The sequence below is a fragment of the Homo sapiens genome, chromosome 11 (genome assembly GCF_000001405.40).
Source record: "Homo sapiens chromosome 11, GRCh38.p14 Primary Assembly".
In the NCBI taxonomy this organism is placed as follows: Eukaryota; Metazoa; Chordata; class Mammalia; order Primates; family Hominidae; genus Homo; species Homo sapiens.
The window spans coordinates 114,608,191-114,630,505 of NC_000011.10; the positions used below are offsets into that span (position 1 = coordinate 114,608,191).

General features: G+C 44.1%; 2 protein-coding genes across 7 annotated transcripts in view, besides 1 other annotated feature; one reads left to right on the forward strand and one right to left on the reverse strand.

The window, feature by feature from the left end:
• Positions 1 to 22,315, forward strand: part of NXPE2 (neurexophilin and PC-esterase domain family member 2) — a 349,427-nt gene that overhangs the window by 143,915 nt on the left and 183,197 nt on the right. The window lies entirely within an intron of this gene.
• NXPE4 (neurexophilin and PC-esterase domain family member 4) overlaps positions 1 to 22,315 on the reverse strand; it is a 107,660-nt gene that overhangs the window by 37,600 nt on the left and 47,745 nt on the right. The window lies entirely within an intron of this gene.
• Positions 10,607 to 10,666: a silencer, noted in NCBI's record as "silent region_3917". NCBI's record gives its function as "represses an Ori minimal core promoter by ATAC-STARR-seq in GM12878 lymphoblastoid cells {active_cell/tissue: GM12878}" and the evidence as "EXISTENCE:reporter gene assay evidence [ECO:0000049][PMID:35858748]".

The following is a 22,315-nucleotide window of genomic DNA, read 5'->3' on the forward strand; positions in this document are numbered from 1 at the left end:
CATGGTTACCCGGTGGATAATACGTGTTGCCTCATGGGTAACAACTGTTGCCCTGTGTATAAAAGTTTTGCCTTGTGGGTAACCACTGTTACCCAGTATTTAATAAGTGTTGCATCATGGGTAACCAGTGTTACTTGCTGGATAATAAGTGTTGCCACGTGGGTAACAACTCTTACCATGTGGATAATAAGTGTTGCCTCATGGGTAACCACTGTTACCTGGTAGATAATAAGTGTTGCCTCGCAGGAAAGCACTGTTACTCAGAGGATAGTAAGTATTGCCTTGTGGGTAATCAATGTTACCTGGTAGATGATAAGTGTTGCCTCGTGGGTAAGCACTGTTACCCGGTGGATAATAATTGTTGCATCGTGTGTATCCACTGATACCCACTGGATAATAATTGTTGCCTCTAGGGTAACCACTGTTACTTGGTGGATAATACTTGTTGCCTCGAGGGTAACCACTGTTACCCGGTGGATAATAAGCATTGCCTCCCAGGTAACCACTGTAACCAGGTGGATAATAAGTACTGCCTCGTGGGTAACCACTGTTACCCAATGGATAATAAGTACTGCCTCATGGATAACCACGGTTACCCTGTGGAAAATAAGTGTTGCCTCGTGGGTAAGCACTGTTACCTGGTGGATAATAAGTGTTGCCTTGTGGGTAACCACTCTTACCCGGTGGATACCAAGTATTGCCTCGTGGGTAACCACTGTTACCCAATGGATAAGTACTGCCTCGTGGGTAACCACTGTTACCCTGTGGAAAATAAGTGTTGCCTCGTGGGTAACCACTGTTGCCAGGTGGATAATAAGTGTTGCCTTGTGGGTAACCACTCTTACCTGGTGGATACTAAGTATTGCCTCGTGGGTAACCACTGTTATCCGGTGGATAATAAGTGTTGCCTCATGGGTAGCTACTGTTACCCGGTGGATAATAAGTATTGCCTCGTGGGTAACCACTGTTACCTGGTGGATGATAAATATTGCCTCATGGGTAGCCACCATTACCCACCAGATACTGAGTTTTGCTTCGTGGGTAACCACTCTTACCCAGTGGTTAATAAGTATTGCCTCATTGGTAACCACTGTTACCCGGTGGATAATAAGTATTGCCTCGTGGGTAACCACGGTTACCCTGTGTATAATAAGTAATGTCTCATTGGTAACCACCGTTACCCGGTGGATAATAAGTATTGCATCGCTGGTAACCACTGTTACCCTGTGGATAATAAGTGTTGCCTCTCTGGTAACCACTGTTACCCAATGGATAATAAGTGTTGCCTCTAGGGTAACCATTGTTACCTGGTGGATAATAAGTACTGCTTCGTGGGTAACCACTGTTACCCAATGGATAATGAGTATTGCCTCCTGGGTAACCACTGTTACCATGTGGATAATAAGTGTTGCCTCGTGGGTAGGCATGCTTACCCGATGGATAATAAGTGTGGCCTCGTGGGTAACGACTATTACCCAGTGGATAATAAGTATTTCCTCATGGGTAACCACTGTTACCCGGTGGATAATAAGTATTGCCTCATGGATAACCACTGTTACCCGGTGGACAATAAGTATTGCCTCGCGGGTAACCACAGTTACCTGATGGATAATAAGCATTGCCTGGTGGATTACCATGGTAACCCGATGGATAATAACTATTGCCTCGCGGGTAACCACTCTTACCCAGTGGATAATAAGTGTTGCCTCCTGGGTAACTACCATTAACCGGTGGATAATAAGTGTTGCCTCGTGGGTAACCACTGTTACACGGTGGATAATAGTTGTTGCCTCACAGGTAACCACTGTTACCTGGTAGATAATACATGTTGCCTCGTGGGTAGGCACTTTTCCCCGGTGGATAATAAGTCTTGCCTCATGGGTAACCACTGTTAACTGGTGAATAATAAGTGTTGTCTTGTGGGTAACCCGTTACCCCGTGGATAATAAGTATTGCCTTGCAGCTAACCACTGTTACCTGGTGGATAATAAGTATTGCCACGTGGGTAGCCACTGTTACCCAGTCAATAATAAGTGTTGCCTCGTGGTTAACCACTGTTACCCTCTGGATAATAGGTGTTGCCTACCCGGTGGATAATAAGTGTTGCCTAGTGTGTAACCACTGTTATCCGGTGAATAATAAGTATGGCCTCATGAGTAACCACTGTTACCCAGTTGATAATAAATATTGCCTCGTGGGTAACCACTGTTATCCAGGGAATAATACCTATTGCCTCTCGGGTAACCACTGTTTCCCGGTGGATAATAAGTGTTGTTTCTAGGGTAACCACTGTTACCCAGTGGATAATAAGTGTTGCCTCATGTGTAACCACTGTTACCCGGTGGATAATAAGTGTTGCCTCGTGGTTAACCACTGTTACCCGGTGGATAATAGGTATTGCCTCGTGGTTAACCACTGTTACCCGGTGGATAATAAGTGTTGCCTCATGGGTAACCACTGTTAACCGGTGGATAATACATGTTGCCTCGTGGTTAACCACTGTTACCCGGTGGATAATACCTGTTTCCTCCTGGGTAACCACTGTTGCCCTTTGGATAATAAGTGTTGCCTTGTCGGTAACCACTGTTACCCAGTGGATAATAAGTATTGCCTCTAGGGTTATCACTGTTACCCTGTGGATAATAAGTATTGCCTCTAGGGTAACCACTGTTCCCCGGGGGAAAATAAGCATTGTCTCATGGGTAATCAATGGTACCTGGTGGATAATAAGTATTGCCTCGTGGGTAACCACTGTTGCCTGGTTTGTAATAAGTGTTGCCTCGTGGGTAACCACTGTTACCCACTGGATAATAAATGTTGCCTCGTGGGTCACAACTCTTACTCTGTGGATTATAAGTGTTGCGTCATGGGTAACCACTGTTACCTGGTGGATAATAAGTGTTGCCTCGTGGGAAACCAGTGGATAGTTAGTATTGCCTCATGGGTCCTCACTGTTACCCGGAGGATAATAAGGACTGTCTCATGGGTAACCACTGCTACCCGCTGGATAATAAGTAGTACTGCATGGGTAACCACTGTTATCCAGTCAATAATAGGTATTGCTTCTAGGGTAACCACTGTTACCCTGTCGATAATAAGTGTTGCCTCATGGGTAATCACTGTTACCCAGTGGATAATAAGTATTGCCTCATGGGTAACCACTGTTACCCGGTGGATAATAAGTGTTGCCTCGTGGGTAACCACTGTTTCCCAGTGGATAATAAGTATTGCCTCTAGGGTAATCACTGTTACCCAGTGGATAATAAGTATTGCCTCGTGGGTAACCACTGTTACCCTGTGGATAATAAGTATTGCCTCATGAGTAACCACTGTTACCCGGTTTATAATAAGTGTTGCCTCTTGGGTAACCAGTATTACCTGCTGGATAATAAGTGTTGTGTCGTGGGTCACAATTCTTACCCTGTGGAAAATAAGTGTTACCTCGTGTGTAGCCACTGTTACCTGGTGGATAATACGTGTTGCCTCGTGGGTAACCACTGTTACCCGGTGGATAGTTAGTATTGCCTTGTGGGTCACCATTGTTAGCCAGTTGATACTAAGTATTGCCTCATGGGTAACCACTGTTACCCGGTGGATAATAAGTGTTGCCTCTTGGGAAACCACTGTTACCCGGTGGATAATATATATTTCCTCATGGGAAACCACTGTTACCTGGTGTATGAGAAATATTGCCTCATGGGTAAACACCATTACCTGCTGGATACTAAATTTTGCCCGGTGGGTAACCACTGTTACCTGGTAGATAATAAGTATTGCCTCGTGGGTAACCACAGTTACCCAGTGGATAATAAGTCATGCCTCATGGGTAACCACTGTTACCTGGTGGATAAGAAGTGTTGCCTCGTGGGTAACCACTCTTACATGGTGGATAATAAGTGTTGAGTCACGGGTAACCACTGTTACCTGGTGGATAATAATTGTTGCCTCGTGGGTAACCACAGTTGCCCAGTGGATAATAAGTGTTGCCTCTAAGGTAACCACTGTTACACGGTGGAGAATAAGTGTTGCCTCTATGGTAACCACTGTTACACGGTGGAGAATAAGTGTTGCCTCTTCAGTAACCACTATTACCCGTTGGATAATAAGTATTGCCTCGCAGGTAACCACTGTTACCTGGTGGATAGTAAGTACTGCCTCGTGGGTAACCACAGTTACCCGATGGACAATAAGTATTGCCTCATGTCTAACCACTGTTACCCGGTGGATAATAAGTGTTGCCTCGTGGGTCACCACTGCTACCTGATGGATAAGTGTTGCCTCATGGGAAACCACTGTTACCTGCTGGATAATAAGTGTTTCCTCGGGGGTAACCACTGTTACCCTGTGTCTAATAAGTGTTGCCTCATGGGTAACCACTGTTACCCAATGGATAATAAGTATTGCCTCACGGGTAACCAGAGTTACCCTGTGGATAATAAGTATTGCCTCGTGGGTAACCACGGTTACCCAGTGGATAATACGTGTTGTCTCATGGGTAACAACTGTTGCCCTGTGTATAATGTGTTGCCTCGTGGGTAACCACTGTTACCCAGTATTTAATAAGTGTTGCCTCGTGGGTAACCACTGTTACCTGGTGGATAATAAGTGTTGCCTCGTGGGAAAGCACTGTTACCCAGAGGATAGTAAGTATTGCCTTGTGGGTAATCAATGTTACCCCGTGGATAATAAGTGTTGCCTCACGGGTAAGCACTGTTACCCGGTGGATAATAATTGTTGCATCGCATGTATCCACTGTTACCTGCTGGATAATAATTGTTGCCTTGCGAGTAACCACTGTTACCCAATGGATAATTAGTGTTGCCTCTAGGGTAACCACTGTTACCTGGTGGATAATACTTGTTGCCTTGAGGGTAACCACTGTTACCCGGTGGATAATAAGCATTGCCTCCCAGGTAACCACTGTAACCAGGTGGATAATAAGTACTGCCTCATAGATAACGACTGTTACCCGATGGATAATTAGTGTTGCCTCTAGGGTAACCACTGTTACCTGGTGGATAATACTTGTTGCCTCGAGGGTAACCACTGTTACCCGGTGGATAATAAGCATTGCCTCACAGGTAACCACTGTTACTAGGTGGATAATAAGTACTGCCTCATGGGTAACCACTGTTACCCGATGGATAATAAGTACTGCCTCGTGGATAACCACGGTTACCCTGTGGAAAATAAGTGTTGCCTCGTGGGTGGGTAAGCACTGTTACCTGGTGGATAATAAGTGTTGCCTCTTGTGTAACCACTGTTACCTGCTGCATAATAAGTATTGCCTCGTGGGTAACCACTATTACCCAGTGGATAATAAGTATTGCTTCGTGGGTAATCACTGTTACCTGCTGCACAATAAGTGTTGCCTATTGGGTAACCACTGTTACCTGGTGGATAATAAGTATTGCCTCATGGGTAACCACTGTTACACACTGGATAACAAGTGTTGCCTTTGGTAACCACAGTTACCCAGTGGATGATAAGTGTTGCCTCGTGGGGAGCCACTGTTACCCAGCAGGTAATAAGTGTTGTCTCATGGGGAACCACTGTTACCCGGTGGATAATAAGTGTTGCCTGGTGGGTAACCACAGTTAGCCGGTGGATAATACGTCTTGCCTCATAAGTAACCACTGTTACCCTGTGGATAATACGTATTGCCTAATAGGTAACCACTTTTGCCCTGTGGATAATAAGTGTTGCCTCGTGGGTAACCACTGTTACCCAGTGGATAATAAGTATTGCCTCTAGGGTAATCACTGTTTACCGGTGGATAATAAGTATTGCCTCTAGGGTTACCACTGTTACCCAGTGGAAAATAAGTATTGTCTCGTGGGTAACCACTGTTACCCGGTGAATAATAAGTGTCGCCTCATGCATAACCACTGATACCTGGTTTATAATAAGTGTTGCCTCGTGGGTAACCAGTGTTACCTGCTGGATAATAAGTGCTGCCTCATGGGTACCAACTCTTACCCTGTAATAAGAGGGATATTATCCACCATGTAATGTTAATGGATAATAAGTGTTGCCTCGTGGGTAACCACTGTTACCCTGTGGATAGTAAGTATTGCTTCATGGGTAAGCCCTGTTACCCGGTGGATAGTAAGTATTGCCTCGTAGGTAACCACGGTTACCTGATGGATAATAAGTGTTGCCTCTAGGGTAACCACTGTTACCTGGTGGATAATAAGTGTAGCCTCTAGGGTAACCACTGTTACCCAGTGGATAATAAGTATTGCCTCGTGGGTAACCACTGTTACCCGCTGGATGACAAGTGTTGCCTTTGGTAAGCACAGTTACCCGGTGGATAATAAATGTTGCCTCATGGGGAACCAGTGTTACCCAGTGGATACTAAATGTTACCTTGTGGGTAACTACTGTTACCCGGTGGATAGTAAGCGTTGCCTCGTGGGTAACCACTGTTACCTGGTGGATTATAAGTATTGCCTTGTGGGTATCCACTGTTACCCACTGGATAAGTGTTGCCTCGTGGGTAACCACTGTTACCTGGTGGATAATAAGTGTTGCCTCCTGCGTAACCAGTGTTACCCAGTGGATAATAAGTGTTCCTCATGGGTAACCATTGTTACCTGGTGGATGATAAGTGTTGCCTCGTGGGTAACCACTGTTATCTGGTGGATAACAAGTGTTGCCTTATGGGTTACCACTGTTTCCCAGTGTATAATAGGTATTGCCTCTAGGGTAATCACTGTTACCCAGTGGATAATGAGTATTGCCTCTTGGGTTACCACTGTTACCTGGTGGATAAGTATTGCCTCGTGAGTAACCACTGTTACCCGGTTTATAATAAGTGTTTCCTCGTGGGTAACCAGTGTTACCCACTGGATAATAAGTGTTGCCTCGTGGGTAACAATTCTTACCCTGTGGAAAATAAGTGTTGCTTCATGGGTAACCACTGTTAACAGGTGCATAATAAGTGTTACCTTGTGTGTAACCACTCTTACCAGGTGGATAGTAAGTATTCCTTCGTTGGTAACCACTGTTAGCCGGTGGATACTAAGTATCGCCTCTTGGGTAACCACTGTTACCCAGTGGATTATAAGTATTTCCTTGTGGGTATCCACTGTTACCTGGTGGATGATAAATATTGCCTTGTGGGTAACCACCATTACCCGCCGGATACTAAGTTTTGCCTCGTGGATAACCACTGTTACCCGGTGGATAATAAGTATTGCCTCGGTAACCACAGTTACCCTATGGAGAATAAGTAATGCCTCATGGGTAACCACTGTTACCCAGTGGATAATAAGTATTGCTTCGTGGGTAACCACTGTTACCTGGTGGATAATACATGTTGCCTCACAGGTAACCACTGTTACCCGGTGGATAATAAGTGTTGCTTCGTGGGTAACCACCTTTACCTGGTGAATAATATTTGCTGCCTCATGGGTAACCACTGGTACCTGGTGGATAATAAGTGTTGCCTCTAGGGTAACCACTGTTACCCGATGGATAATAAGTGTTGCCTCTAGGGTAACCACTGTTATCCATTGGATAATAAGTATTGCCTCACGGGTAACCGCTGTTACTCAGTGGATAATAAGTACTGCCTCATGGGTAACCACTGTTACCCAATGGATAATAAGTATTGCATCCTGGGTAACCACTGTTACCCTGTGGATAATAAGAGATGCCTCGTGTGTAAGCACTGTGACCTGGTCAATAATAAGTGTTGCCTCGTGGGTAACCACTGTTACCTGGTGGATAATATGTATCGACTTATGGGTAACCACTGTTACCCATTGGATAATAAGTATTCTCTCGTGGAAAAGCACTGTGACCCAGTGGATAATAAGTATTGCCTCGTGGGTAACCACTCTTACCCGGTGGATAATAAGTATTGCCTCATGGGTAAACACTGTTACCTGCTGCATAATAAGTAATGCATCATGGGTAACCACTGTTATCCGGTGGATAATAAGTATTGCCTCGTGGGTAACCATGGTTACCCTGTGTATGATAAGTAATGTCTCATGAGTAACTGCTGTTACCTGGTGGATAATAAGTATTGCCTCACTGGTAACCACTGTTACCCAGAGGACAATAAATGTTGCCTCGTGGGTAGCCACTGTAAGCCCCTGGATAATAAGTGTTGTCTCACGTGTAACCACTGTTACCTGATGGATAAGTGTTGCCTCACGTGTAACCACTGTTACCCAGTGGAAAATAATTGTTGCCTCGTGGGTAACCGGTGTTACCTGGTGAATAATAAGTGTTGCCTCTAGTGTAACCACTGTTACCCAATGGATAATAAGTGTTGCCTCGAGGGTAACCACTGTTAACCGGTGGATAATATGTATTGTCTGGTGGGTAACCATTGTTACCCAGTGGATAAAAATTATTGCCTCATGGGTAATCACTGTTACCCAGTGGATAATGAGTATTGCCTCATGGGTAACCACAGTTACCCACTGGATAATAAATGTTGCCTATTGGGTAACCACTGTTACCCGTTGGATAATACGTGTTGCCTCGTCTGAAACCACTGTTACCCAGTGTATAATAAGTGTTGCCTCCTGGGTAACCACGGTTAACCGGTGGATAATAAGTGTTGCCTCTTGGCTTACCACTGTTACACAGTGGATAATAAGTGTTGCCTCGTTGGTAACCACTGTTACCCAGTAGATAATAAATATTGCCTCATGGGTAATGACTGTTACCCGCTGGATACTAGGTATTGTCTCGTGGGTAACCACTGTTACCTGGTGGATAATAAGTGTTGCCTTGTGGGTATCCACTCTTACCCGGTTTATTATTAGTGTTTCCTTGTGGGTAACCACTGTTACCTGGTGGATAATAAGTATTTCCTCGTGGGTAACCTCTGTTACCCAGTGTAGTAAGTATTGCCTCTTGGGTAACAACTGTTAATGCATGGATAATAAGTGTTGCCTCGTGGGTAACCACTGTTACCCTGTGGATAATAAGTGACGTTTTGTGGGTAACCATTGTTACCCAGTGGATAATAAGTGTTGTCTTGTTGGTAACCACTGTTACGCATTGGATAATAAATATTTCCTCGTGGGTAACCACTGTTACCTGGTGGATGATAAATATTGCCTCGTGGATAACCACCATTACCCACCAGATACTAAGTTTTGCCTCGTGGGTAACCACTCTTACCTGGTGGATAATAAGTATTACGTCATTGGTAACCACTGTTACCCGGTAGATAATAAGTATTGCCTCGTGGGTAACCACTGTTACCGGGTGGATAATAAGTATTGCCTCGTGGATAACCACTGTTATCTGCTGGATATCAAATGTTGCCTCGTGGGTAACCACTGTTAACCGGTGGATAATACGTGTTGCCTCGTGGCTAACCACTGTTACCCAGTGGAAAATAATAGTTGCCTCACGGGTAACCGGTGTTACCCGGTGCATAATAAGTGTTGCCTTTAGGGTAACCACTGTTACCCAATGGATAATAAGTGTTGCCTCTAGGGTAACCACTGTTACCCGGTGGATAAAAAGTACTGCCTCGTGGGTAACCACTGTTACCCAATGCGTAATAAGTATTGCCTCCTTGGTAACCACTGTTACCATGTGGATAATAAGTGTTGCCTTGTGGGTAAGCACGGTTACCCGATGGATAATAAGTGTTGCCTCATGGGAAACCAGTGTTACCCAGTTGATAATAAGTATTGCCTCATGGGTAACCACTCTTACCTGGCGGATAATAAGTATTGCCTCATGGGTAACCACTGTAATCTGCTGCATAATAAGTATTGCCTCGTGGGAAACCACTGTTATCCAGTTTGTAATAAGTGTTGCCTCGTGGGTAACCAGTGTTACCCGCTGGATAATAAGTGTTGCCTCGTGGGTAACAACTCTTACCCTGTGGATAATAAGTGTTGCCTCATGGGTAACCACTGTGACCCGGTGGATATTAAGTGTCGCCTCGTGGGAAACCAGTGTTACCTGGTGGATAGTAAGTATTGCCTCGTGGGTAACCATTGGTACCCGGTGGATACTAAGTATTGCCTCATTGGTCACCACTGTTACCCGGAGGATAATAAGGATTGTCTTATGGGTAACCACTGCTACCCACTGGATAATAAGTATTACCGCATGGGTAACCACTGTTATCTGTTGGATAATAGGTATTGCTTCTAGGGTAACCACTGTTACCTGGTCAATAATAAGTGTTGCCTCATGGGTAGTCACTGTTACCCAGTGGATAATAAGTATTGCCTCATGGGTAACCACTGTTACCTGGTGGATAGTAAGTATTGCCTCATGGGTAACCACTGTTATCCTGTGGATAATAAGTGTTGCCTCGTAGGTAACCACTGTTTCCCAGTGGATAATAAGTATTGCCTCTAGGGTGATCACTGTTACCCAGTGGATAATAAGTATTGCCTCGTGGGTAACAACTGTTACCCTGTGGATAATAAGTATTGCCTTGTGAGTAACCACTGTTCCCCGGTTTATAATAAGTGTTGCCTCTTGCGTAACCAGTATTACCCACTTGATAATAAGTGCTGTGTCGTGGGTAACAATTCTTACCCTGTGGAAAATAAGTGTTATCTCGTGCGTAGCCACTGTTATCTGGTGGATAAAAAGTGTTGCCTCGTGGGAAACCAGTGTTACCCAGTGGATAGTAAGTATTGCCTCGTGGGCAACCATTGGTACCCAGTGGATCCTAAGTATTGCCTCATGGGTCACCACTGTTACCCGGAGGATAATAAGGACTGTCTCATGGGTAATCACTGCTACCCACTGGATAATAAGTAGTACCGCATGGGTAAACACTGTTATCTGGTGGATAATAGGTATTGCTTCTAGGGTAACCACTGTTACCCAGTTGATAATAAGTGTGGCCTCATGGGTAACCACTGTTACCTGGTGGATAATAAGTATTGCATCATGGGTAACCACTGTTGCACTGTGGATAATAAGTGTTGCCTCGTGGGTAACCACTGTTACCCAGTGGGTAATAAGTATTGCCTCTAGGGTTATCACTGTTACCCTGTGGATAATAAGTATTGCCTCTAGGGTAACCACTCTTACCCGGTAGAATATAAGTAATGCCTCTTGAGTAATCAATGGTACCTGGTGGATAATAAGTATTGCCTCGTGGGTAACCACTGTTCCCCGCTGGATAATAAGTGTTGCCTTGTGTGTAACCACTGTTACCCGGTAGATAATAAGTGTTGCCACCTGGGTAACCACTGTTACCCAGTGGAGGATAAGTGTTGCCTCGTGGGTAACCACTGTTACCCGGTGGAGAATAAGTGTTGCCTCGTGGGTAACCACTGTTACCCAGTGGAGGATAAGTGTTGCCTCGTGGGTAACCACTGTTACCCGGTGGAGGATAAGTGTTGCCTTGTGGGTAACCACTGTTACCTGGTGGATAATGTGTTGCCTCGTGGGTAACCAGTGCTTCCCAGTGGAAAATGTGTTGCCTCGTGGGTAACCACTGTTACCCTGTGGATAATAAGTGTTGCCTTGTGGGTAACCACTGTTTCCCAGTGGATAATAAGTATTGCCTCTTGAGTAATCACTGTTACCCTGTGGTTAATAAGTATTGCCTCTTGGGTAACCACTGTTACCAGGTGGATAATAAGTAATGCCTCGTGAGTAACCACTGTTACCCAGTTTATAATAAGTGTTGCCTCGTTGGTAACCAGTGTTACCCGCTGGATAACAAGTGTTGCCTCGTGGGTAAGAATTCTTATCCTGTGGAAAATAAGTGTTACCTCATGGGTAACCACTGTTACCCGGTGGATAATAAGTGTTGCCTCGTGAGTAACCACTGTTACCTGGTGGATAGTTAGTATTGCCTCGTGGGTAACCATTGTTACCCAATGGATACTCACTACTGCCTCGTGGGTAACCACTGTTACCTGGTGTATAATAAGTGTTGCCTCTTGGGTAACCACTGTTACCCAGTGGATAATACGTATTTCCTCGTGGGAAACCACTGTTAACTGGTAGATGATAAATATTGCCTCATGGGTAACCACCATTACCCGCTGGATACTAACTTTTGCCTGATGGGTAACCACTGTTATCCGTTGGATAATAATTATTGCCTCGTGGGTAACTACGGTTACCCGGTGGATAATAAGTAATGCCTCGTGGGTAACCACTGTTACCTGGTGGATAATAAATATTGCCTCACTGGTAACCACTGTTACCGGTGGAAAATAAGTGTTGCCTCGTGGGTAACCACTGTTACCCATTGGATAATAAGTGTTGAGTCATGGGTAACCACTGTTACCCAGTGGGTATTAATTGTTGCCTCTAGGGTAACCACTGTTGCCCGGTGGATAATAAGTGTTGCCTCTAGGGTAACCACTTTAAGGCGGTAGATAATAAGTGTTGCCTCTAGGGTAACCACTGTTACGCGGTGGATAATAAGTGTTGCCTCTAGGGTAACCACTGTTACGCGGTGGATAATAAGTGTTGCCTCTAGAGTAACCCAGTGGATTACCCAGTGGAGAATAAATATTGTCTCCCAGGTAACCACTGTTACCTGGTGGATAATAAGTACTGCCTCTTGGGTAACCACAGTTACCCGATGTATAATAAGTATTGCCTCATGTCTAACCACTGTTACCTGGTGGATAATAAGTGTTGCCTCAGGGGAACCACTGTTACCCTGTGTCTAATAAGTGTTGCCTTGTGGGTAACCACTGTTACCCGATGGATAATAAGTATTGCCTCACGGGTAACCACAGTTACCCTGTGGACAATAAGCATTGCCTTGTGGGTAACCACATTTACCTGTTGGATAATAAGTGTTCCCTCATGGGTAACCACTGTTGCCCTCTGGATAATAGGTGTTGTCTCGTGGTTGACCACTGTTACGCAGTGCACAATAAGTGTTGCCTCGTTGGTAACCACTATTACCCCGTGGATAATAAGTATTGGCACATGGGAAACCACTGTTACCCTGTGGATAATAAGTATTGTTTCATGGGTAAACACTGTTACCCAGTGGATAATTAGTGTTGCCTCGTGGGTAACCACTGTTACCTGGTGGATAATAAGTGTTGCCTCATGGGTAACCACAGTTACCCGGTGGATAATACGTGTTGCCTCATGGGTAACCACTGTTATCCGGTGGATAACAAGTATTGCTTTGTGGGTATCCACTGTTACCCGCTGGATAATAAGTGTTGCCTCGTTAGTAAATACTGTTATCTGCTGCATAATATCTGTTATCTCGTGGGTAACCACAGTTACCCTGTGGATAATAAGTATTGCCTCTAAGGTAATCACTGTTACCCAGTGGATAATAAGTATTGCCTCATGGGTAACCTCTATTACTCATTGGAAAATAAGTATTGCCTCGTGTGTAACCACTGTTAAACAGTGGATAATAAGTATTACCTCTAGGGTAACCACTGTTACCTGTTGGATAATAAATGTTTCCTCTAGGGTAACCACTGTGACCCAGTGGATAATAAGTATTGCCTTGTGGGTTACCACTGTTACCCTGTGGATAATAAGTGATGCCTCATTGGTAACCACTGTTACTCAGTGGATCATAATGATTGCCCTGTGGGTAACCACGGTTAACTGCTAGATAATAGGTATTGCCTCATGGGTAACCACTGTTACCCACTGGATAATAATTATTGCCTTGTGGGTAACCACTGTTACCTGCTGGAAAATAAATATTGCCTCATGGGTAAACACTGTTACCTGCTGGATAATAAGTATTGATTTGTGGGTAACCAGTTACCTGGTGGATAAGTATTGCCTCATGGGTAACACCTGTTACCCTGTGGATAATAAGTATGGCCTCATGGGTAACCACTGTTAACCGGTGGATAATAAGTACTGGCTCATGGGTAACCACTGTTACCCAGTGGATAATAAGTATTCCTTCATGGGTAACCACTGTTACCTGGTGGATAATAAGTACTGCCTCATCAGTAACCACTGTTACTCGGTGGATAATAAATATTGCCTCATGGGTAGCCACTGTTACCCAGTGGATAATAAGTATTGCCTCGTGGGTAACCACTATTACCTGGTGGATAATAAGTGTTGCCTCCTGGTTAACCACTGTTATCCAGTGGATAATAAGTGTTGCCTCGTGAGTAATCACTGTTACCTGCTGGATAATAATTGTTGCCTCATGGGGAACCACTGTTACCCAATGCATCATAAGTGTTGCCTCGTGGGTAACCACTGTTACCAAGTGGATAATAAGTATTTCTTGTGGGTAACCACTGTTACCCGGTGTATAATAAGTGTTGCCTTCTGCGTAACCACTGTTACCCAGTGGACAATAAGTATTGCCTCATGGATAACCACTGTTACCAAGTGGAAAATAATTATTGCCTCATGGGTAACCACTGTTACCCTGTGGATAATAGGTATTGCCTCGTGGGTAACCACTGCTACCCGGTGGGTAATAAGCATTACCTCGTGGGTAAACACTGTTACCCAGTGGATAATAAGTGTTGCCTCGTGGGTAACCAGTGTTACCCGGTGGATAATAAATGTTGCCTAGTGGTTAACCCCTTTTCCCGGTGGATAATACGTGTTCCCTCGTGTGTAACCACTGTTACCCAGCGGATAAGTGTTGCCTCATGGGTAATCACTGCTGCCTTGTGGATAATTAGTATTGCCTCATGGGTTACCACTCTTACCCAGTGGATAGTAAGTATTGCTTCATGGGATACCACTGTTAACCAGTTGATAATAAGTATTGCCTCATAGGTAACCACTGTTACCCTGTGGATAATACGTATTGCCTCGTGGGTTACCACTGTTACCCATTGGGTAATATGTATTGCCTCGTAGGAAACCACGGTTACCTGGTGGATAATAAGTGTTGCCTTGCGGGAAACCCCTGTTACCCGGTGGATAATAAGTGTTGCCTTGAGGGTAACCACTGTTATCTGGTGGATAATTAGCGTTGCCTGGCGGATAAGCACTGTTACCCGGTGGATAATAAGTGTTGCCTTGTGGGTAACCAGTGTTAACCGGTGGATAATAATTATTGCCTCTAGGGTAACCATTGTTACCCAGTGGATCATAAATATTGCCTCTAGCATAACCACTGTTTCCCGGTGGGTAATACATATTGCCTCGTGGGTGACAACTGTTACCCAGTGGATAACAATTATTGCCTCTAGGGTAATCACTGTTACCTGGTGGAAAATAAGTATCGCCTGTAGGGTAACCACTTTTAAACGTGGGATAATAAGTATTGCGCAGTGGGTACCATTGTTACCCGCTGGATAATAAGTATTCCCTCATGGGTAACCACTGTTATCCGGTGCATAATAATTATTTCCTCTCGGGTAACCACTGTTACCCAGTGGATAATAAGTATTCCCTCGTGGATAAACACTGTTACCTGGCAGATAATACGTATTGCCTCATGGGTAACCACTGTTACCCTTGGAAAATAAGTGTTGCCTCATGGGTTACCCGTTTTACCCACTGGATAATAAGTGTTGCCTTGTGTGTAACCACTCTTACCATGTGGATAATAAGCATTGCCTCGTGGGAAAACAGTGTTACCCGATGGATAATAAGTATTGCCTCATGGGTAACCACTGTTAACTGGTGGATAATACATGTTGCCTCGTGGGTTACCACTCTTACCCTATGGATAACAAGAATTGCCTCGTGGGTAACCACTGTTACCTGGTGGATAATAAGTGTTGCCTCGTGGTTAACAACTGTTACCCAGGGGATAGTAAGTATTGCCCCTAGGGTAATCATTGCTACCCAGTGGATAATAAGAACGACCTCTGGGGTAACCACTGTTATCCAGTGGATAAGAAGTATTGCCTCGTGGGTAACCACTGTTACCCGGTGGATAATAAGTGTTGCTTCATGGGTAACCACTGTTACCTGGTGGATAATGAGTGTTGTCTTGTGGGTAACCAGTGTTACCCTCTGGATAATAGGTTTTATGTCGTGGGTAACCACTGTTACCCATTGTAAAATAAGTATTGCCTCATGTGTAACCAATGTTATATGGTAGATAATAACTATTGCCTCTAGGGTAACCACTGTTACCTGGTGGATGACAGATGTTTCCTCTAGGGTAATCACTGTGACCCGGTGGATAATAAATATTGCCTCGTGAGTAACCACTGTTACCCGGTGGATAATAAGTGTTGCCTCATTGGTAACCACAGTTACTCAGTGGATAATAATTATTGCCCCAGGGTAACCACTGTTTCCCGTTCAATGATAAGTATTGCCTCATTGGTAACCACTGTTACCCACTGGATAATAATTATTGCCTCATGGGTAACCACTGTTACCTGCTGGATAATAAGTATTGCCCATGGGTAAGCCCTGTTGCCCACTGGATAATAATTATTGCCTCGTGGGTAACCACTGTTACCTAGTGGATAATAAGTATTGCCCCGTGGGTAACCACTGTTAACTGGTGGATTATAAGTATTGCCTCATGGGCAACCACTGTTACCCAGTGGATAATAAGTATTGCCTTGTGGGTAACCATGGTTACCTGGTGGAAAATAAGTATTGCCTCTAGGGTAACCACTGTCTCCTGGTGGATAATAAGTATTGCCTCCAGGGTAACCACTGTTACCCAGTGGATAGTAAGTATTGCCTCGTGGGTAAGCACTGTTACCCGGTGGATAGTAAGTATTGCCTTGTGGGTAACCACTGTTACCTGGTGGATAATAAGTACTGCCTCATGGGAAACCACTGTAACCTGGTGGATAATAAGTGTGGCCTCATGGGTAACCACTGTTACCTGGTGGATAATACGTGTTGCCTCGTGAGTAACCACTGTCACCTTGTGGATAGTAAGTGTTGCCTCGTGAGTAACCACTGTTACCTTGTGGATAGTAAGTGTTGCCTCGGGGGTAAACACTGTTACCCTGTGGATGATAAATATTGCCCCGTGGGTAACCACCATTACCTGGTGGATAATAAGTATTGCCTCATGGGTAACCACTTCTAATGACTGGATAATAAGTATTGCCTTGTGGGTAACCACTGTTACCCAGTGGATAATACGTGTGGCCTTGTGGGTAACCACTGTTACCTGTTGGATAATACGTATTGCCTCGTGGGTTACCACTGTTTCCCAGTGGGTAATACGAGTTGCCTCATGCGTAACCACAGTTACCCAGTGGATAATAAGTGTTGCACTGTGGGTAACCACTGTTACTGGGTGTATAATAAGTATTGCCTCTTGGGTAACCACTGTTACCCAGTGGATAATAAGTATTGCCTCATGGGCAACCACTTCTACCACATGGATAATAAGTATTGCCTCTTGGGTAACCACTGTCACCCGGTGGATAATATGTATGGCCTCGTGGGTAACCACTGTTACCAGGTGGATAATAAGTATTGCCTCATGAGTAACCACTGTTACCCGGTGGATAATAAGTATTGCCTCGTGGGTAACCACTGTTATCTGGTGGATAATAAATATTGCCTCGTGGGTAACTGCTGTTACCCGGTGGATAATAAGTATTGCCTCTCAGGGAGGAGCCAAGATGGCCGAGTAGGAACAGCCCCGGTCTACAGCTCCCAGCATGAGCGACGCAGAAGGCAGGTGATTTCTGCATTTCCATCTGAGGTACCAGGTTCATCTCATTAGGGAGTGCCAGACAGTGGGTGCAGGTCAGTGGGTGAGCACACCACGTGCAAGCTGAAGCATGGTGAGGCATTGCCTCACTCGGGAAGCGCAAGGGGTCAGGGAGTTCCCTTTCCTAGTCAAAGAAAGGGGTGACAGACGGCACCTGGAAAATCAGGTCACTCCCACCCGAATACTGCACTTTTCCGATGGGCTTAAAAAACGGCGCACCAGGAGATTATATCCCGCATTTGGCTCAAAGGGTCCTACGCCCACGGAGTCTCACTGATTGCTAGCACAGCAGTCTGAGATCAAACTGCAAGGCGGCAGCGAGGCTGGGAGAGGGGCGCCCGCCATTGCCCAGGCTTGCTTAGGTAAACAAAGCAGCCGGGAAGCTCGAACTGGGTGGAGCCCACCACAGCTTAAGGAGGGCTGCCTGCCTCTGTAGGCTCCACCTCTGGGGGCAGGGCACAGACAAACAAAAAGACAGCAGTAACCTCTGCAGACTTAAATGTCCCAGTCTGACAGCTTTGAAGAGAGCAGTGGTTCTCCTAGCACACAGCTGGAGATCTGAGAATGGGCAGACTGCCTCCTCAAGTGGGTCCCTGACCCCTGACCCCCGAGCAGCCTAACTGGGAGGCACCCCCCAACAGGGGCAGACTGACACCTCACGTGGCCGGGTACTCCAACAGACCTGCAGCTGACGGTCCTGTCTGTTAGAAGGAAAACTAACAGAAAGGACATCCACACCAAAAACCCATCTGTACATCACCATCATCAAAGACCAAAGGTAGATAAAACCACAAAGATGGGGAAAAAACAGAGCAGAAAAACGGGAAACTCTAAAAAGCAGAGCGCCTCTCCTCCTCCAAAGGAACGCAGTTCCTCACCAGCAACAGAACAAAGCTGGACGGAGAATGACTTTGATGAGCTGAGAGAAGGCTTCAGACAATCAAATTATTCCGAGCTATGGGAGGACATTCAAACCAAAGGCAAAGAAGTTGAAAACTTTGAAAAAAATTTAGAATAATGTATAACTAGAATAACCAATACACAGAAGTGCTTAAAGGAGCTGGTGGAGCTGAAAACCAAGGCTCGAGAACTACGTGAAGAATGCAGAAGCCTCAGGAGCTGATGCGATCAACTGGAAGAAAGGGTATCAGTGATGGAAGATGAAATGAATGAAATGAAGTGAGAAGGGAAGTTTAGAGAAAAAAGAATAAAAAGAAATGAACAAAGCCTCCGAGAAATATGGGACTATGTGACAAGACCAAATCTACATCTCATTTGTGTACCTGAAAGTGACGGGGTGAATGGAACCAAGTTGGAAAACACTCTGCAGGATATTATCCAGGAGAACTTCCCCAATCTAGCAAGGCAGGCCAACGTTCAGATTCAGGAAATACAGAGAACGCCACAAAGATACTCCTCGAGAAGAGCAACCCCAAGACACATAATTGTCAGATTCACCAAAGTTGAAATGAAGGAAAAAATGTTAAAGGCAGCCAGAGAGAAAGGTCGGGTTACCCTCAAAGGGAAGCCCATCAGACTAACAGCAGATCTCTTGGCAGAAACTCTACAAGCCAGAAGAGAGTGGGGACCAATATTCAACATTCTTAAAGAGAAGAATTTTCAACCCAGAATTTCATATCCAGCCAAACTAAGCTTCATAAGTGAAGGAGAAATACAATACTTTACAGACAAGCAAATGCTGAGAGATTTTGTCACCACCAGGTCTGCCCTAAAAGAGCTCCTGAAGGAAGCGCTGAACATGGAAAGGAACAACCGGTACCAGCCACTGCAAAATCATGCCAAAATGTAAAGACCATTGAGACTAGGAAGAAACTGTATCAACTAACGAGCAAAATAACCACTTAACATCATAATGACAGGATCAAATTCACACATAACAATATTAACTTTAAATGTAAATGGACTAAATGCTCCAATTAAAAGACACAGATTGGCAAATTGGTTAAAGAGTCAAGACCCATCAGTGTGCTGTATTCAGGAAACCCATCTCACAGGCAGAGACACACATGGGCTCAAAATAAAAGGATGGAGGAAGATCTACCAAGCAAATGGAAAACAAAAAAATGCAGGGATTGCAATCCTAGTCTCTGATAAAACAGACTTTAAACCAACAAAGATCAAAAGAGACAAAGAAGGCCATTATTTAATGGTAAAGGGATCAACTCAACAAGAAGAGCTAACTATCCTAAATATATATGGACCCAACACAGGAGCACCTAGATTCATAAAGCAAGTCCTGAGTGACCTACAAAGAGACTTAGACTCCCACACGTTAATAATGGGAGACTTTAACACCCCACTGTCAACATTAGACAGATCAATGAGACAGAAAGTCAACAACGATACCCAAGAATTGAACTCAGCTCTGCACCAAGTGGACCTAATAGACATCTACAGAACTCTCCACCCCAAATCAACAGAATATACATTTTTTTCAGCAACATACCACACCTATTCCAAAATTGACCATATACTTGGAAATAAACCTCTCCTCAGAAAATGTAAAAGAACAGAAATTATAACAAACTGTCTCTCAGACCACAGTGCAATCAAACTAGAACTCAGGATTAAGAATCTCACTCAAAACCACTGAACTACATGGAAACTGAACAACCTGCTTCTGAATGACTACTGGGTACATAACGAAATGAAAGCAGAAATAAAGATGTTCTTTGAAACCAATGAGAACAAAGACACAACGTACCAGAATCTCTGGGACACATTCAAAGCAGTGTGTAGAGGGAAATTTATAGCACTAAATGCCCACAAGAGAAAGCAGGAAAGATCCAAAATTGACACCCTAACATCACAATTAAAAGAACTAGAAAAGCAAGAGCAAACACATTCAAAAGCTAGCAGAAGGCAAGAAATAACTAAAATCAGAGCAGAACTGAAGGAAATAGAGACACAAAAAACCCCTTCAAAAAATTAACGAATCCAGGAGCTGGTTTTTTGAAAGGATCAACAAAATTGATAGAAAGCTAGCAAGACTAATAATGAAAAAAAGAGAGAAGAATCAAATAGACGCAATAAAAAATGATAAAGGGGATATCACCACCGATCCCACAGAAATACAAACTACCATCAGAGAATGCTACAAACACCTCTATGCAAATAAACTAGAGAATCTAGAAGAAATGGATAAATTCCTCGACACATACACCCTCCCAAGACTAAACAAGGAAGAAGTTGAATCTCTGAATAGACCAATAACAGGCTCTGAAATTGTGGCAATAATCAATAGCTTACCAATGAAAAAGAGTCCAGGACCAGATGGATTCACAGTCGAATTCTACCAGAGGTACAAGGAGGAACTGGTACCATTCCTTCTGAAACTATTCCAATCAATAGAAAAAGAGGGAACCCTCCCTAACTCATTTTATGAGGCCAGCATCATTCTGATACCAAAGCCGGGCAGAGACACAACCAAAAAAGAATTTTAGACCAATATCCTTGATGAACATTGATGCAAAAATCCTCAATAAAATACTGGCAAACGGAATCCAGCAGCACATCAAAAAGCTTATCCACCATGATCAAGTGGGCTTCATCCCTGGGATGCAAGCCTGGTTCAATATACACAAATCAATAAATGTAATCCAGCATATAAACAGAACCAAAGACAAAAACCACATGATTATCTCAATAGATGCAGAAAAGGCCTTTGACAAAATTCAACAACCCTTCATGCTAAAAACTCTCAATAAATTAGGTATTGATGGGACATATCTCAAAATAATAAGAGCTATCTATGACAAACCCACAGCCAATATCATATTGAATGGGCAAAAACTGGAAGCATTCCCTTTGAAAACTGGCACAAGACAGGGATGCCCTCTCTCACCACTCCTATTCATCAGAGTGTTGGAAGTTCTGGCCAGGGCAATTACATAGGAGAAGGGAATAAAGGGTATTCAATTAGGAAAAGAGGAAGTCAAATTGTCCCTGTTTGCAGACGACATGATTGTATATCTAGAAAACCCCATTGTCTCAGCCCAAAATCTCCTCAAGCTGATAAGCAACTTCAGCAAAGTCTCAGGATACAAAATCAATGTACAAAAATCACAACCATTCTTATACACCAACAACAGACAAACAGAGAGCCAAATCATGAGTGAACTCCCATTCACAATTGCTTCAAAGATAATAAAATACCTAGGAATCCAACTTACAAGGGACGTGAAGGAACTCTTCAAGGAGAACTACAAACCACTGCTCAAGGAAATAAAAGAGGATACAAACAAATGGAAGAACATTCCATGCTCATGGGTAGGAAGAATCAATATCGTGAAAATGGCCATACTGCCCAAGGTAATTTACAGATTCAATGCTGTACCCATCAAGCTACCAATGACTTTCTTCACAGAATTGGAAAAAAACTACTTTAAAGTTCATATGGAACCAAAAAAGAGCCCTCATCGCCAAGTCAATCCTGAGTCAAAAGAACAAAGCTGGAGGCATCACACTACCTGACTTCAAACTATACTAAAAGGCTACAGTAACCAAAACAGCATGGTACTGGTACCAAAATAGAGATATAGATCAATGGAACAGAACATAGCCCTCAGAAATAACACCACATTTCTACAACTATCTGATCTTTGAGAAACCTGAGAAAAACAAGCAATGGGGAAAGTATTCCCTATTTAATAAATGGTGCTGGGAAAACTGGCTAGCCATATGTAGAAAGCTGAAACTGGATCCCTTCCTTACACC